Source organism: Homo sapiens, chromosome X (genome assembly GCF_000001405.40).
Source record: "Homo sapiens chromosome X, GRCh38.p14 Primary Assembly".
In the NCBI taxonomy this organism is placed as follows: Eukaryota; Metazoa; Chordata; class Mammalia; order Primates; family Hominidae; genus Homo; species Homo sapiens.
Window position 1 is genome coordinate 51,074,145 of NC_000023.11, and position 18,699 is coordinate 51,092,843.

General features: G+C 39.1%; 1 pseudogene; it reads left to right on the top strand.

The window, feature by feature from the left end:
* Nucleotides 1-8,642: 8,642 nt before the first annotated feature.
* On the top strand, nucleotides 8,643-17,093 carry LOC101060199 (acyl-coenzyme A synthetase ACSM6, mitochondrial-like; annotated as a pseudogene).
* Nucleotides 17,094-18,699: the final 1,606 nt, after the last annotated feature.

Below are 18,699 nucleotides of genomic sequence, written 5' to 3' on the forward strand. Positions count from 1 at the left end.
AAATTGTTGTACATCCATACAATGGAATACTACTCAACAGTAATAGTAAACTATTTGATATGCACAACACTTAGAACAATCTCAAAGGCATTATGCTGAGTGAGAGAAGTCCATCTCAAATGATCACACTCTGTGTTATTCCATTTTTGTAATTATTCTTGAAGTGACAAAATTATACTGATTAAAAAGATATTGCTAGGTTCCAAAGGTTAGTGTTGGAGGGAGAGTTTGGCTGTAAAAGAGGAGCAACCAGAACAGTCTTTGTTGTGATAAAACACTTCTATATCATGACTGTGATGATGGTTACACAAATATGTACAAATGACAACATCTCACACACACATATGCCATAAGAAAGTATATATAGGAATGTGAAATCAGAATAAGGTCTGTAAGTGAATTGATAGTATGGTGCCATTATAGATTTTCTGACTTTTATAATACACCAAGATTATGTGTCATGGTTATGTTATATTTTGGGGAAGCTGGGTGAAGGGTGAAAGGTACAGTGAATTCTCTGTATTATTTTTGCAATTTCTTGTGAGTCAAATTTTTTCACGATAAATAACATATAAACATAAGAAAGGAGGCAAGATTGCAAAATATTTGATAAACTATACTTGATGATGCTCTTCAGTAAAGAGGAGGTAATGTCTTTGTCAAGGAAAGCAGCAATAACTTCGACCTATAAATACCTATACAAGTTATTGCAACACTGTTTACTTCAGGAAATGAAGCTCTAATTCCATTGTGACTATATCGTACATGCAATAATTTTTGGAATGCGTAGTACTACCTGATAGGGAGAGTGATAAGAAAAATCTGGTCTAACATAACTAAATTTCATTTTGGGTTTAATATGAACAATTATTAGCCAAAATTCAGAGTCCATCTAGCTTCTACATTTTGTTTTCAGGAGATGACTATTAACAAAAAAAAAATACAGTAAGCAGCTTGGAAAATGACAACAACATCAGAAGCCCCTTTGAGACTAGATGGATGCCTTACCCATTGTGAAGGGCTTTAACACTTGGCCTGCCTCCCTTCCTGTCTCCCTTTCATCGGCGTTTATTCCTGAAAAAGAGCTGCCAACCAGAACCAGCTATTACTTGGCATATGGGAGGCAAAAGCCCTGTCTCAGAGACTCACACAACTGACATCTGAGCAAGGGTGTTGCATTCATTGTTTTCTCTATGGGGAGGCACCAGTAAATTACTAAGAGACTTCTAAAAAGATTTCCTCAGGTATTGTCTCCTGGTCAATGTTCACATAATATTTAGTTGAGTTTTATAATACAGAAACAACCAACAATGTAGGCAGTAGTCTGAAGCAGCTCTATGACTCAGATCCAGCCTCTTTTATCTGCAGACCAAAGCCAGTACTGTTTGCCCGGGGCCCACACAGTGACCCAGTGGGAGCCCTCCCACAGACCTGGAGGAAGCCACCCCTGTGTGTAACCAGGCTACAGACTTTTAGTGTATGGGCCCTGAAGTGGACCCTAATCCCAGCACCAGCCCTACTGACCAGATCCTGAAAGCAGTCAAGTTCACCTAGAGACCAAACTGGATTCAGGCCCTCTTGAATTAACAAGCCCACCAACCATAGACCCTGCTTGCAGAACCTGTAGCAACTACATGTCATTGCTCCCTCCCCACTCAACTGTGATCCTGGAGGCAATCTCATCAGACTGAGGACCCAACAGGAGATGGTCTTTATCAGTCAAAACCAGTCCATAAAGACTGGGGTTGGCTCCTTCAAATTACAGACACCAATAAATGTCTACAGGGATCACAAAGAATGAGGCAAATATAACAGCACCAAAGGAAACAAATGAAACTCCAGTAAACTACCAAACAATTTGAAGTCTATAAATTGCCTAAAAAAGAACTCAAAGTAATCATCTTAAACATAATTTTGATTCATGACTTAAACAGAATAAAGAACAAAAAACATATGATCATCTAAATAGATGCAAAAAAGCATTTGATAAAATTCAACATCCTTCATTATATATAATACATCATGCCATTCTCTTTTCCAATTTGAATACCTTTTATTTCTTTCTCTTGCCCGATTGTGCTGGCTAGGACTTCCAGTGCCATGTTGAATAGGAGAGGTGAAAGTAGGCATCCTTGGCTTCTTCCAGTACTTAGGAACTGCTTTGAACTTTTCCCTGTTTGGTGTGATGTTGGCTGTGGGTTTTCATAAATGGCTTTCATTATTTTGAAGTATGTTCCTCCTCCGTCTAGTTTGTTGAGGATGTACATCATTAGTTTCTTTCTATTACTAGATATTGGCAATGTTTTATTATAAATGCAGTTTGAGTTTTTTCATACACTTTGCTATGCTGTATAATTTGCTATACTTGAGTTTTATCAAACACTTTGCTATGTTGTATGATTAAATTTATTGAGATAATCATATGATTTCCATGCTTTATTCTAATAATATAGTGGATTATACAAATTTATTTCTTAATAGAGCTATCTTGGTCTTGATATATTCTTTTGTGTATAGATTGCTGAATTAATTTACCAACGTTTTCTTGAGGATTTTCCATTTATTTTCATCAGTGTGATTGATTTCTTATTGCCCTTTATTTATGCGTCCATTGTCATATTTACTATCAAAATTATCATTATCACATGATATAAACTGGGAAATGTTCTTTCTTTCATATGTTCCTTAGGAGACTTTGTATAAAATTGAGATTATTTTCTTCTGTAATATTTGGTGAGTCTAGCGTATTTTATTATTGCTTTTACTGTTTGGGGGAAGTATTTTAAATTACCCACTCATTTATTTTAATGGCTATAGGTCTAGTCACAATTTCTGTGTCTTCGTGAGTCAAGTTTGTTGAGTTATATTTTTCTAATGTTTGTTAATTCACTACATTAAAATGTTCAAATGTATTGTTATAAAATGTTACATGTTTTCTCATAATCCTCATTTATCCCTATGATATATCACTCATACACAAAAAGTGAATGAAATATAAATATGTGTGTAAAAATGAACACCTATAGATCATTACCAAGGTAAAGAACTAGAACATTGTTGGCATTCTCAAAGTCCCCATGTGCCTCTTCCTGGCATCTTCCACCCTCACTCCTTGAGGTGACCACTATTCTTTTTTAGTAATTACTTCTTTGCTATGCTGTATAATTTTCCAACTACATATGCATCTCTGGAAAAACAGAGTTTCATTTTCCGCATTTCTTAGATATATATGAAAGTTATCAGAAGGTGTGCATAATTCTGTGTCTGGCTTCACCTACTCATCATTATAGTTGTAAAAATCATTTTCATTATTGCTCCCTAGCATTCCATTATATTAATAGGCCAAAAATGCATCTATTTATCCTTCTGTTGGTGAACATTTAATATTCAAATTGGACAGTCAATTTCCCATGGTCTGCAATGCCGAATTATCATTAATGAAGTATTTCATATGCAAATGAGTCCGTGTCAGCACCATGCCAACTTCACACCTGGTTCTTTCTAAAATGAATCTTCTTTTTCATGAACATTTGAATATTATATAAATTTTAGAATCGGTTTACTAATTTCCACACACTAAAATACAGAGTTTTTTGGATTGCATTGAATACGTAGATCAATTTTGGGAGACTACGCATTTCAAAACTATAGAATTTTCCAGGCCATTTACATGGACTATCTCTCCATTTATTTGTTCTCTCTCACTAGAGCAAAATTCCATGGCAGCTATGGTGGCCACCCTAGGATGGCCTGCACTCTGGCAATCCTTCTGTATCAACAGGATCTGTGGACCTCCAAACACAATGTCCTGAATACCCAGCAATAAAAAAAGGATCGGCATGAAGCTCACTCTGACAGGATGAGGGAACCACCCATGGGAGCCAGAAAAACCTAGGAACCTGATTGGTACTGGATCTAAAGTTATGCTCATCTCCCAGGAACTTGATCTGCATAGTCACTGAGGTCATCAGTCACAGGGTTTTGCCCCTCTATTTACCCACCTCATGCAGCTTTGCACTTTCTCCCTTGCTCCTTGCTTCTCATGGCCTTCCTTAGCTGCCTGTCACTTCTCACCCCTCCACCCACCACATATCCCTAACCCCACAGGAGGGAGATACACTGTAGACAAGAGAGGAAAGACCTGGCCATTGCCAGCAATAAATAGCTCCCTGTACTGGTATGCCGGACCACCAGGGGATACAAAAGATGTTGTTTCCCAGAATCCTAGAGAGTGGCAGTCACTGGGTGATCTTAGCGTTTATAGACTGGATGTTTTTGTTCCTCGCAAACCCATATGTCGATACCTAGCCCCGTAGTGTGAGGATATTAGCAGGTGGGGCCTTTGAGAGCTAGTTAGGATTAAATAAGGTCATAATTGTGGAACCCTCATGGATGGGATTCGTGTCTTTATGGGAGTCAAGACAGAGCTTGCTTCCTCTCTCTGCTCTCTGCCATGTGGAGGTACAAGGAGAAGTCAGCTGTCTGCAGCCCAGAAGAGGGCCCTCACCAGAATCCGGCCACACTGGTATCCTGATCTCAGACTTCCAGCTTCCAGAACTGTGAGAAATACGTTTGTTGTTGATAAGCCACTCAGTCGATGGTGTTTTGTTATAGCAGCCCAAGCTGATAAAAACAAGGGTGTTCTAAGAATGGGCGAGGTGTCCGGCCTTCCTCTGGTCCTTTCAGCCAGCAGATCTCCCACTCACCTTGCAGCAACCAGCAGGTACTGATGAGTCTGAGATGCCGTGAGTCTGCTCAAGTAACTTTTCTAGACACTCATTGCAGATTCCTCAACTTCTCTCACTATGGTTTCTTGTTCACCTGATAGGGCCCACTAGATCCAGAATCCGGAATTTAATGAAATAGTTGCTAACAAAGTAACGTAAGTACAAAATTATGTGAAGGTTGAAAGTAATTAGTTTTAAATGCCTCATTATTTTATTATTTCAAACACATGGACATTATACAAAAATTGAAAATACAGATTAACACAAAACAATAAAAATCAGAGATTATGCATTATTTTAATTTAATGTTTGTTTTCTGTTCACTTTGTACAGTATGCATAGATTCTGTTTCTAGTCATAAAAACATTAAAAATGCTGAGTCTATTTGTGTTTTGGTTCATGTTGAGCACTGCAGTGGGTCTTTGCTTTTCTAGTTTTTGTAATCATGAATTCAAATTGCTGAAGTCATAGGGCCCACTGCTCCAGCATTAATTTGCTTTGTAGCTTTCTTGAGTTTTCCCAGGCTGTGACATTTGGAACTTGACAAGTCAATGTGCCGAGCAATGAAGATGACTTATTTGATGAGACTGGTGTTCTTTTCCAAGCAGCTGATATTATGCTAGAGTCAGCTTCATTTAAAAAGCAGGTGCAACAGGAACCGTCCCTTGAAAATGTAGATCCCATCCCAGTATTAGAGGCAGCAATTCCTGTGATAAAGGGATAGGGGGAGCAAAAGATGAGGCCACAGGGAAGGGTCTCTAAGGGACCCTAAAAGCTGCCTCATGAATCCAGAGTCCATTCAAAGCTCTCCCTCCTATTTCTTGAAAAGATTGGCCACTGGGGTGTTGAGTTTAGAGAAATAGGTATGAGCCTCATAATCTCAACCCCCAGCCACTCCCAACAGATCTGACCTTTACTGTCTGGGCTTGCCATGTGGGGATTGTGCTTACCATGCCTGGCACCCTCTCCACTCACCAGGTGGTGAAGTGCAGCTGAGGCTTGGGGTGGGTCATATGTATAAGGGGTGGGGGCAGGTACATTCTGAATAAGGGAACTGTGAGACAACATGCCTCCTCTCGAGCACCTCAATAGACATTTACATAACCTAAGGACACGTGAAGATGTTTTCTTTTGGAAGTTTTACTGGTGATCCACATTTTTAAAAGGAATATAATTGTCACCAGAAAATACTGTTGACCTTTTGTTCTCCAACAATGACCAAACAACAAGACCAAAATTAAACAAAACAAGCACCTTTCACTATTGTTATTGCACTCAACAGCAACTTCTCAAACTAGGTCCTCTCAGCCAAAACTGTACACTTGAATCTTACTTGGAACGATAGCTGTATTTTTGAAAAGTTATATACATCACATTTTTTCTTTGGTTATGCATTCATTAAACAAATATGTATTTATCTCCTACTATGTACCAGGTCAAATTCTAAACAAATGTAATTGTGCTAAAATGTTCTATTAGAAAGAATTCTTGTTTTAGAAAACAAAGTGAATAAAGTCCCTTTTACCTGTAATATTTTAGGATTCTAGTTAAAGTCACCCAAATGGATCCCTTTTATGAAATACAGTCCTTCAAATTTGTTTATTTGAAAAATTTACATTTTATATATTTTGCTTAATTACGGGATACCTATATCACCTTCTTTTAATAAAATTATAATGTCTGTCTAGGTGTTTGTGTACAGTTAGAATAAAATCTTAAGAGGTCCTCTATGTGATCCCACCCAGTGAGTGATTCCTTCCTACAACTTCCCTGGGAACGGGCATTTAACTTCTGCTGGAACATCGCTGGTGATGGGAAGCTCACTACCTCACAAAACATTTTGTTCTAGGATCATTCTCCTCCTTTAAAAAGGTCCTTGGTGAATTTCACCTACAATGAGGGTGAAATTACTAGTGTGCTGCCAGTCATCTGGGTTTATCTGGAAAAATAGTAAAAAGAGTAGTAGCTCATATGGCCTGAGACAAACATGGTATAGGAGAGCTTCAAGAAAGGATAGCGGGTATTGGGGAAGAAGACTCTGAAGGTCATAGAAAGATCTAGTCTGAGTCCATGGTGGAGCCTGCTAGAGACCAGAGGAGGTTCTCTTGGTTTTAGAAATCCAGCTGGCAAGCAGGGAAGCCTTTGTGACTGGAGCAGAATGAGAGAGGAAGCAGGAAGAGGCAGCTGAGGGCAGAGAGGGAGGCAGGGGCTGGATTTGGATTTTCTTCCCTAAGTTTGGAGGAAAACATTTGTGTATTTTTCAGCAGGCGGTGATGTTTTTGGCTTTTTGCTTTTAAAATACCATGATTCTATTTGGTCAAATCTCTCAGCATTCCCCCTGCCCTGTCACTTTATACCTCACTCCAGAAAACCTGGACTACTCATAGTCTCCTGAATGTACCAGGTGGAAGAAGCCTATCATGGTTCCTTACACTTACCTGCCCATCAGCTTCCCTGTTCCTGTCATTCCTTCCTTCCCCTCCTTGTCTACCTGGCAAAAATCTCACTTTGCTGCCAAGTTGGGCTCTACCATCACCTGCTCTGGTAGACTTCCTTTACTCTCTCAAGCCAGTCTGGGTGCTTTGTATCTCCATTACCTCAGGTAGTTACAATTGGTGATTTATGTGAAGCCCTCGAGGGCCAGGGCAGTATTTGCTTCACCTCTGAGTCCCCAGCATCTAACACTGTGTCTGGATTAACCAACTAATCCATTTACAAATTGTCGAACTCTTCTAAAACAATGAAATAAAAATTTGGGAGCAGATGTATTCTAAAATATAACCAGTTCATGTTTGGTGATACCATATGGTACATTTTCATTTCTTTTCTGGGTATCTTTTGTAACTATTTTTTCCTGGTAAGATCGTATGAAAATAGCATAGCTCATATTAGCTGTTTCCTGAGTGCATTATAGAGTCTTTTCAGGATCTGTGATAGATGACCCCTGACAACTTCTTTAAAAAGTTCCAAGTCAAAACCATCTACGCCATGCTGTAAGGAGTAGAATCTGGGGTCCTGGACAATTGTTTGCTCCAATAGCAATAGCTACAAAATGTAGGACTTACAAGAATAACTAAGGAAAGTTACCAGGGCAAGGAGCTGGAGGCCAATAGCAAAGTTTATCAATTCATCAGTCAATAGATATTTAGATTGTTTAGATTGTTTGCACATTTGGGCTATTATGAAAAATGACTTTTTTATGGTGCCCAAGAATTTCAATTTGAGAAGCAGAAGATAAAGGTAGGGTATGTGGGAAAGGCCTGTACTGGTTAACTAGATCCTTTTCCATAATCAGTATATCTATAGTAGGGAGTGTAAGCATTGAAAGACAAGCAATGTCATCATCAGTTGCTCCTAGAAGTATTCTAGTTCTCCAAGCTTGAAAAGTGAAGAGAAGCCTCTGTTAGAACAGCCTCTGGCACACAAGTGCACCCAGCATGTCCCAGTCTCATAGAAGGCCCCCAACAGGTGTTAGATGGATGCAAAAGAATCTACAGAAACAGCCAAAGGCCGGAAGTTGTTTGTTGTTGTTGTTGTTGTTGTTTTTCGTCTCCAATGCAAATCCAGAAATCCATAGCACAAGCCATTCTCAAGCCAGGAGGAAACAACAAAGGGGAAGTTTTCACAACCCCCTTGCATCACAGTTTCAAAATCAGGCTACATTTCAAGTAACTAGTGGTCTGAAGCCTAACCATATAAATTTAGGACTGCTCGAGGGGAAAGGATAACAGCAGCAGAGCCACTGATCACTGGATTGTTTCAATGAGCTCAGTCTCCTGCATGTCTCAGTTCTTCCTCAGCCACCATCATGTTGCTTCCCCAGTACAGAGGAGAAACTCCCAAGAGAAAGGGTATTCCAGAGACCTCATCTGTGCCTTCCGGGATGTTTGAGGAAATATTCTCTGCTCAAAAGATATGTATGAAGCATTATTTGAGACCTTTTCAGGAATCATCTTTGTGCCTGGGAGTCTCCAGCTGACTGCCAAGGAAATTTGCTAACAATTACACGTGTCTAAAGCCCAATGCTTTGGTGCGAGTGAGGCTATGTTCCCAGTCATGGTCTCTGCCATGTTTGACTGCCCTACCTTGAAGACCAAGCTCCTGGTGTCAGATAAGTGCTATGATGGGTGGTTGGATTTCAAGGAGCTGATTCAGTAAGTGGACATTGCAAATGAGAAACTTAAATCAAGAAAATGTCTGATTTTGGAAGATAGAATGTTGTATGAGAAGGTGGTGTGAGTGGTTGTAATGAGAAGCTTAATGGTAATTTCTAGTCCTGAAAAAAAAAACAAAACAGAGTAACTCCCCAACACCCTCAACAGAAGAATCCCTGATCTGGCCTACAAGTTCTCAGTCTGAGTGAACGTCTCATCTTCTGATTCATACTTGACCATTCATTCTGAGATGGTAAAAAAATAGGTGATAAAAATATAAACACATTACAAAACATAATAAAAAGCTTATATATATACAAAATTATATAATGGAATACCATTCAGTCATTAAAAGGAATGAAATTATGTCTTTTGCAGCAAGTTGGATGGAACTGGAGGCCATTATCTTAAATGAAATAATAGAAATACAAAGTCAAATACTGCATGTTCTCACTTATAAGTGGGAACTAAATAATGTGTACACACAGATATAGAGTGTAGAATAATAGACACTGGAGACTCGCAAAGGTGGGAGGTTTTGAGAGGGTGAAGAATGATAAATTACTTAATGGGTACAATGTACACTATTTTGGTGATGGTTACACTAAAAGCCCAGATTTCACCATTATGTAACAAAACTGCACTTGTATCCCTTAAATTTATACAAATAAAAAAAAACCCACTGGCCCTGGGATATGAGAAAATACATATTAAAACAACATGATGCCATGTTTATCCTCAGGTTAGCCAAATACAGTAGTCTCCCCTTATCTGTGGTTTTGTTTTCTGTGGTTTCAGTGACATGTGGTCAACCATGGTCCAAAATAGTTGAGTACAGTACGATAAGATATTTTGAGAAAGAGAGAGAGATCACATTCACACAACTTTTATTACAGTATATTGTTGTAATTTTTCTATTTTATTAATTATTGTTTTCAATTTCTTACTGTGCCTAATTTATAAATAAAACTTTATCATAAGTATGCATGTTTAGGAAAAAAGATAGTGTATATAGGGTTCAGTACCATTTGTGGTTTCAGGCACTCACTGGGGGTCTTGGAACATATCCCCCAGGGATAAGGTGGGACTACTGTATTAAGTTTGATAATTATAAATGCCATCTTTAGAGAGTAATATTTTAGTGTCCAGAGATGTAAAAAAAAAAACCATGAACAAGACAGACAAAGCCCCTATCCTCATGGATTTTATATTCTAGACAACAAAATGGACAACAAGAAAACACATAAATGATCAAGATAATACAGTTTCCAAAAGAAACTCCCAACAAAAACAGGCAAATTAAATAGAGTGATCTCATGTGGAGATGGGGGAATTATCTTAGATTTGGTGGCTTCTTAGGAGAGGATGAGCTGAGACTTGAATACTATAGAGCCAGCCTTTTGAATATCTGTAGGAATAATATCAGAGAGAATACTAAGGTACAGGACCTGAGGTGGGAAAGAGCTTGACTTGTTTGAGGAACAGAAAGAATACCAGGGTGCCTGAAGTGTGGTGAGTGGAAAAGAGAGTAGGAGGAGAGGAGGTTGAATAGCAAGGGAGAGCGAGATTACAGCGGGTCTTGTAGGTTATGTAGGAAATGTCTGTGGAATGTGGAGGAGAAGGACTTGATCTGAGTGACGTTTTAAAAACTCCTTCAACTGCTGTCTGAACAATGAGAGACAAGACAGGTAGTAAAGGACCTGGCAGAAGGCCAGTGCAGTCGTTTAAGTGAGAAGCCGTGTTGGTATGGACCATGATGGTGGCAGTGGACACAGGACTGGGAATTTGCAAGGCGAATAAGGAACTCGTCTCAGGCACAAAATGTAAAGGGGCACTGAAAAATCCAGTGATCAAGAGAAATAATATTTTAATTTTCAAATACATTTTAAAAATCAAATTATAAAATAATTTTCATAATTGAAGTTTAAAAATTTGTATATAATTTTACATATTTATTTTATATATTTATATCATCTGTTTATAATTTATAATTTCATAAATTTTATGCTTTTAATACAATAATTTAATTTTTTTAATTAATAAAATCATATTGGCAAACTTCTGCTGACAGATCACCTGCTTCTATTTTTATAAATACAATCTTATTGGAACCAGAGACAACATTAGGGTGACCAAGTAAGGTGAGTCATGCAACTGCCTGGTTGGATTACAGGCTGTGTGAGAACTATACTTTGAAGCTGGCTTGGCTGAATCCCATTCCTAAATCGTATTGGGTATACTTGGCCACTTTGGGAGCATTCATTGTCATGTACTTATTTTAAATTTTGTGGCTGGGCACGGTGGCTCACACCTGTAACCCCAGCACTTTGGGAGGTCGAGGCGGGCAGATCACTTGAGGTCAAGAGTTCAAGACCAGCCTGGCCAACATGGTGAAACCCCATCTCTACTAAAAATATATAAATTAGCTGGGTGTGTTGGCAGGTGCCTGTAGTCCCAGCTACTTGGGAGGTTGAGGCAGAAGAATTGCTTGAACTCGGGAGGCGGAGGTTGCAGTGAGCCGAGATCACACCATTGCACTCCAGCCTGGATGACAGAGCAAGACTCCAACACAAAAATAAATAAATTAATTAATTTAATTAAATTTGGATATTTTATTATTAATTTTTGACAGTTTTGATTATTTTAAAAATATTTCACTAAAATATTATTTATCTTGACTACTGAATTTGCTGGTATCCCCTTAAATATCATGTCTGTCACAAATGTTTCACTTGCTCCACCTTAGTCCCAGCCCTGAGTACAGATAATGAAGAGAGACAGACTTGTGACACGTTGTAGAGGTAAAGTTGTCAGGGCTTGCCAGTGGTTAGGATGTGGCATAGATAGCTGGGTAGATAAGTAGATACATAGGGAAAGACTGATAATAAGGATTACTACAGATTTTTGCCTTGAGCAATTGAGTAAATAGAGGGTATTTTACTGAGAAAAATAAGGCTGGAACATAAAGGCATCATATATTACTTATCCAACAGAAATTAATGCAAAAAAATTAAGGGAAAAAATGGCAGCTGCACCTCTAACAAATCATCACCCAATATACCAAGATACTAGCTGTTATTTTAAAAAATCAAAGATTACCAAACCAGGAGCCTAGGCTCTAAGTCAGAGAACCTAAATTTAGAACCTTGCTGTTGCATCTTTTGCAATTTACAGAGTTGTACCTCCAAAGCAGACCTTCATGGGGACCAAAAGTCAACATCCAATGGCTATATTCTTCACCAAAGGGACAATGGGAGTTTCCAAACTGGCCGAGTATTCCCAGTATGATTTGGGAATGGATTTCAGCCAGCCTTCCAGATATAGTCCTCACACACCCTATTCAGGCTTGAAAGCTCTTCTCTGGAGTGGTAAAGGGAGAGTTTCATGAGACTAAAGCTAAAAAAAAGAGTTCGTTACTCAAGATTGCAGAAAACATCAATATTGAGAGAAGGAACAGGGCTGAAAGCAGGGTGGGAGGGTGTACACCAAAGGATCGAAAGTAGATTACTATAGATCAAAAATCTAAGAGTACACGGTAAAAAGAGGAAGAGCAGTGAATCCATGCAGTTGAGGAGGGATCCAGGATGATTATCCCAAAGACGCACCGTTGGATGTTACTTGTTCTTCAGTGCTACCAGCACCGGGGTGAATAATTGTGTTGACCCCTATATGTAGTGATAAACACAGAGATAGAGTCACAATTTATGAGGGTTTGGGGTTCTAGAGTCAGATTCTAAGATGAGAATCACATGTCATCACACTACCCCTTAAAAAAATTATTTAAGTAGCTCACGAATACTTTTGGGCATGAGTCACTGGGCCAATGCTAATGCCTCTTTCTAGCATCAGTAAAATTGCCACAATTTTACTGGCAATATCCAGGCTTATTAATCAAAGCAACAATGATCAAAACAAGGCTTCTGGGGTTCAGAAGTAAACGTCTCTCTTGGCAAATTCAAGGGATGCTGAAACTGATTTCAATCTCTTTGGTTGAACACTCAATTAAGTAATTAATTGGGTTGCATTTGTTTTAGTTTGGTTTGTCTGTGGTTAAGTTTCTCAACCTTACATTCAATTCTGCCTAAGATAAATGGTTGTGTGTTGTGACTCCACACTCAAGTTCTCTTAACAAACTCTACTCAAAGCTTCCTTAGGGGAAACAGGTGTATGTGATGTTCATACTCACCTCAAAGGCTTTGACTCTCATAAGCTATAATGGCCAGTGGATATCAGGTAGAGAATTAGAACAGGAGAAACTATTCTAACTCATTTATTAAAATGGTTTAGGAGATCATTCATTTATTCAATTAATTAATTAATAAAAGTGCTTACTAGAACACTTCAGAGACCCCTGAAAGCCATGAATCCTGGAAGGCAATATCATACCAATTAAGTGATACTCACAGAATTTAAGGAGACTCCATTAGCCTCCTGGCCTCATAGCCTTTGTTTGTTTTCATTTGGGTGGTCCTTGTTTCTCTCCACAGATTAGTACTTGATAATAGCAAGTATTATTGTTGTTGCTAGTACCAACATGAGAAAATCCAAATGGCTTTCCTATTCCTCTTTAGATGGTGGATGGATCTCCAGCCAACAAATATTTTTTGGTGTAAGTGATGCCTTTGATGGATCTTTAAGTACTGCCTTGGGAGCTCAGCTCCAAGGAGCCTGTGTGTTTCTGTGTCACATGCCAATTTTCTGTCCCGAGACTGTTCTAAATGTAAGACCAGGTCCTTGTTGTGGGACATGTGGGGCAGAGGCCAGAAAGAGGCATTAGCAATGGCTCAGTGGCTCATGCCCCAAATGGGGCAAATCAAGAATTAAATTCGGAATGTGATCTTGACTTAAAGATGCTCTCCCTACTTCTGAGAGCAATGCCCCCTCACTTCTCTAGGGCCTTTGGAATTAGGAGGACTTGGCTACTTCAGTTGTAGCACTCAAAAGAAAGCTTTTTTTTTTTTTTTTTTTTTTGAGACAGAGTCTTGCTCTGTCACCCAGGCTGGAGTGCAATGGCGTGATCTCAGCTCACTGCAACCTCCCGCTTCCCGGGTTCAAGCGATTCTCCTGCCTCAGCCTCCCGAGTAGCTGGGATTGCAGGTGCCCGCCACCACGCCCAGCTAATTTTTGTATTTTTACTAGAGACAGACTTTCACCATGTTGACCAGGCTGGTCTTGAACTCCTGACCTCCGGTGATCCACCCACCTTGGCCTCCCAAAGTGCTGGGGTTACAGGTGTGAGCCACCGTGCCTGGCCTGAAAAGAAAACTTTTAAAGGACAATAATGACATTGAAGAAGACAATATTAATATCAGTTACTATTCATTGACTATCCACTGGTACTTCATATGCATTATTTCATTTCATCTCTCCAACAACCCTGTAAGGGAAAAACTGGGGAAACTGAGTCTCATAGAAGATAAGTACCTAGTCCAAGGAATCACAGAGGTGGAATTAGACATTAAGCAATCATGGTCTATTGGACTCCACAGCACAATCTCTAAACTGTTGTGCTAACCTCTTAAGTGCCTCCACAATCCACAATTTTACTGGCAATATCCAGGCTTATTATTCAAAGCAACAAAGATCAAAACAAGGCTTCTGGGATCCAGAAGTAAATGCCTCATTGTGTATCTATTCAGATATCAGTGAATAACATGATAGCTGCTAGGTTCACACAGCTAAAGCTAAATTATCTCCCAAGGTCTGGAGGGTGAGGAATCACTAAATCTCCAAGACAAATGGCATGACCCAGCCGAGTCTCAAAGTTAGTGGCCTTCCCTGGACCTTCCCCCGCCACGGTCTCAACTGTCTTTCCTACTTAACATATAGATTTGGTTTTTTCTTCCTTGGGGTCCCAGGCTCTGTCCAGGTCTTCCGTCACCACTCTATCTGCAAATCCACTGATGTACCAGGAACTGCTTCAGCACAAGTGTTTCGCCAGGTAAGAGAGGATCTTTCAGGAGAGAGTCCATTTCCACTCACGGTATCATAAATAAGATTAGGAATCCTCAGTTTGTTGAAGTAGATCCAATCCTATCTTTCATTAACACACCTATCTTGTTGCCATTTATGACAATAACTTCATTAGAGTGTGGGATTTTTTTATTCTCTTGTGACTTTTCAAAGCCGTATCTTCTGGCTCCACAGGAGTCCAGAATATAGAACTAAATTATAATCATAAGGTTGAGTTTGTTTAATCAATTTGTAATTACACCTCCCTTTAAAAAGATAAACATTAAAGACAAATACATTACCTATAAATAAGGTAAATATTAAAAACAAAGACCACCTTCCTTATTGGATATAAATCCTTTTAGGCCTTTTAAAAATAAATTTATATTTATCTACCCATCTTCATTGCAATATACTGAAATATTGGGATGGGATTATATAGATGGTATCATACTATGTATATCATAGTAAAACCTGCATTTTCACTCCACACTGTTCCTTAGAGCTCTATTTATGATAATATGTGTAATATATTTTAATCATTGCATAGTATTCCTTAGTATGAATGAATTATATGTTAATGAGCCCCAAGTACCTATCAAGGATACTCGAATCTTTTCCAAGCTGCTGAAATAAGAATCTTTGCACATATCCTAGAATTCTCTAGAGTAACCACTGAGAAGTGGAACTGCCAATGTTTTGTGGAGTCTGGGTGATGCCCAGATTAATCATCACTAAAGATTAATGAGAAAGCACAGGTTCCAAAGCATTGTATCATGCCTTAGAGTTTGCTAAATAATTATTTAACTCTAAATTTTACTTTAGCTGTGTGAGCAAGGACATATACTCTCTGAAGGGAGCATTTGTGGGAGGAAAGAATAGCAACGTATTAAATTATGATGACATAAATGCCTAGTTCATTGGCATTTTATGGAGCAATTAAAAATAATTAAGTTAAAATACAGTATATCTTTATTCATCAACATGCCATCCCATATAAAATGTTCAGATTCTTTCTTTCTTTTTTTTGAGACAGGGACCTGCTCTGTTGCCCAGGCTGCTGAGGTGCTCAAGGGATCCTCCCATCTCAGCCTCCCAAGTAACTGGGACTACAGGCACATGCCACCACACCTGGATGTTTTTTGTTTTCATTTTTTCTAGAGACCTGGCCTCACTATGTTGCCTGGTCTTGAACTCCTGGGCTCAAGCAAGTCTCCCACCTCTGCTTCCCAAAATGCTGGGATTACAGTCATGAACTACTGTGCCCAGACAGATTATTTCTTATACTCTTGATAGAAAAGGACTTAAAATTTTACAAATAGTCAACTCTCACTTGTACCCTTAAATTAATAATAAAAAGGCAATGATAAAATGGTGCCTTTGGAATTAACTCAGAAACAGTTCTCCAATTCTGATCTTTCTTAGTCTCAAGACCTAACTCGGTGGGCAGGTCAGGTATTATCTAATACAGATGAGCTACCACATAACAATTAATTGACACTCTTGTGTTCAAAATACATAGTCATTCTATCTCTATCTGAGACCATGAAGAGGTTTGCTCTAATCATCTTCCCACACTGGACCCTTCTACCATCACCAAAATAAAATACACATAAAATGAATTGTGGGTTTATAAAAAGTGTTCGCTACTATTTATCTATGTCTGGGGCCCTATGGAAACTTCTCATATATCCAGAGACTTTCAGCCCAGTTTGTAAAATTGGTGGCTGTCTCTCCATCCCCAGACTTCAGAAAATTAGTTCCTTCTTTACCTTACCATTGCTGACACATTCTTCATGCACAGGTAAGGTTTTTGGGGTGATAATAGAACTCAGAAGGGTTTCTACAGAAGGCTGGCTTCCTACCATCAGTTAATACTTACTTACTTTTAGCATTAATACTTCTTGTCCAGAAGAGTAAATGAATCTTCATAGAGACTGATGTAACTGAGATGTCTGAATAGATTATCTAAAAGACTAGTAATAAGAACATAAACTACCACTTAATGAGTACCTCCTATATGTTTGGCAATATCTGTATCATTTTTGCAAGTTTCTTTCTCACAACAGACCTGTTATTGGTAGAAATATTCACTAAGGCTAAGAACAACTTTTGATGCCTCTCCAGCTACAGATTCAAGAGTCTGAAGCTTTGTGTGTCTGTAGGAGGATCCATCAGCCCTGGGGTGATTGAGGACTGGAAACACATCACTAAATTGAACATCTATGAAGGCTATGGGAAGACAGCAACTGTAGGTTGATGCTGATTCACCATTCAGCCAGAAACCAAACTTGTCCATTCACTGTGTAAGCACATTGTCAAATCACTAGCACACACTAGAAATGCAGAACTGGATATGAAGCACGGGAAAAGGAATTGCTTTAATCTAAAGGGACCCCCCTTCCATTGCAAGACAAAGAATTACAAGTACAGATAACTTATAAACTTACAGATTTCACAGCAGGAAGTTGAGCTAGTTTCCACCTGACAATTCCTGTTTACTCTGTGAAGTATGAGGCAATGTCACCTGACGAGAATGTGAAAATGATGTGATAGAATTCTGAGTGGAGGATGTTTAAAATGATCATTGCTGAATATGGAAGAAAGAGCAGATTGCGAAAATAAAGGAGAAATGGGTAATTATAAGATCACATTTGAGGTTGCTGAGCATTCATTTTCAAAGTCACTAATCTATGTAGTTATGTGATTTTCTCCAATATCACTCTAAAATACAGATATAAGCATAGTGAAAGTAAACAGTTGGATTGAAGCAGGATTAAAGTTGTGCCAAGAAGATCCAATAAAAGGGCAGTGGGCAAGGGATCTAGTGATATTGGAAAGAAAATAGTTAAGATGAAAGACTAAGAAACTAAGCTGACTGGGGAAGGAAGAGAATTCAAGAAAAGGCAGATAAGTTGTGTGAAGGCAAAGCACTGGGGATGTCAATGGAGCTGGAATGACTGAAGGTAGTTGTTTTAGGCTGCTGTAACAAAATATCATAGATTGGGTGGCTTAAACAACCAAAATTTATTTTACTCACAGTTGTAGATGCTGGATGTCCAAGATCAGAGTGCCAGCATGGTCAGGTTCTGGGGAGGGCCCTCTTCTGAGTTGCAGACTATTAACCTCTGGTGGTATTCTCACATGACAGAGAAAGAGAGAGAGAGAGCAAAAAGTCTCTTTCTCTGTTTTGTTGTTGTTACTTTTTTTTTTTCTTAAGAGTTAGGGTCTTGCTCTATTGCCTAAACTGGAGTGCAGTGATGCAGTCATAGCTCCCTACAGCCTCAAACTCCTGGGCTCAAGTGATTCTCCAACCTCAGCCTCCCAAGCAGCTGGGACTACAGGTACACACCACCACACTTGGCTAATTATTTATATATTTTTTAGTAGAGACAGGGTCTTACTATGTTGCCCAGGCTGGTCTCAAACTCCTGGCCTCAAGTGATCCTCCTGCCTCAGCCTCCCAGAGTATTTAGGACAGGCACGAGTCACCGTGCCCAGTGTCTCTTCTTATGAGGGCAGGAATCCCATCATGAGGGCATCACTCACATGACCTCATCTAAACCCAATTACCTCCCAAAAGCCCCATCTCAAAATACCATTACAGTGAGGAGAAGGGCTTTAGCACATGGATTTGGGAGAGATACAATTTAGTCCATAGCAGCAGTGGTCAAACAGTGAGATACATAGACTTAAGATTTCAGAGGTAGAACATTTGCAGGTGATGCTAACACAAGAGTATAGCCACAGGTGGATTAAGTGTCATGACACTCCCTAGAGATCAGGGTCAATAAATGAAGAGACCAGAGGGTAGAACTTGTCATTCATATAGATGTAGGAGGCACTCAGGATGATGGTGGGACGTG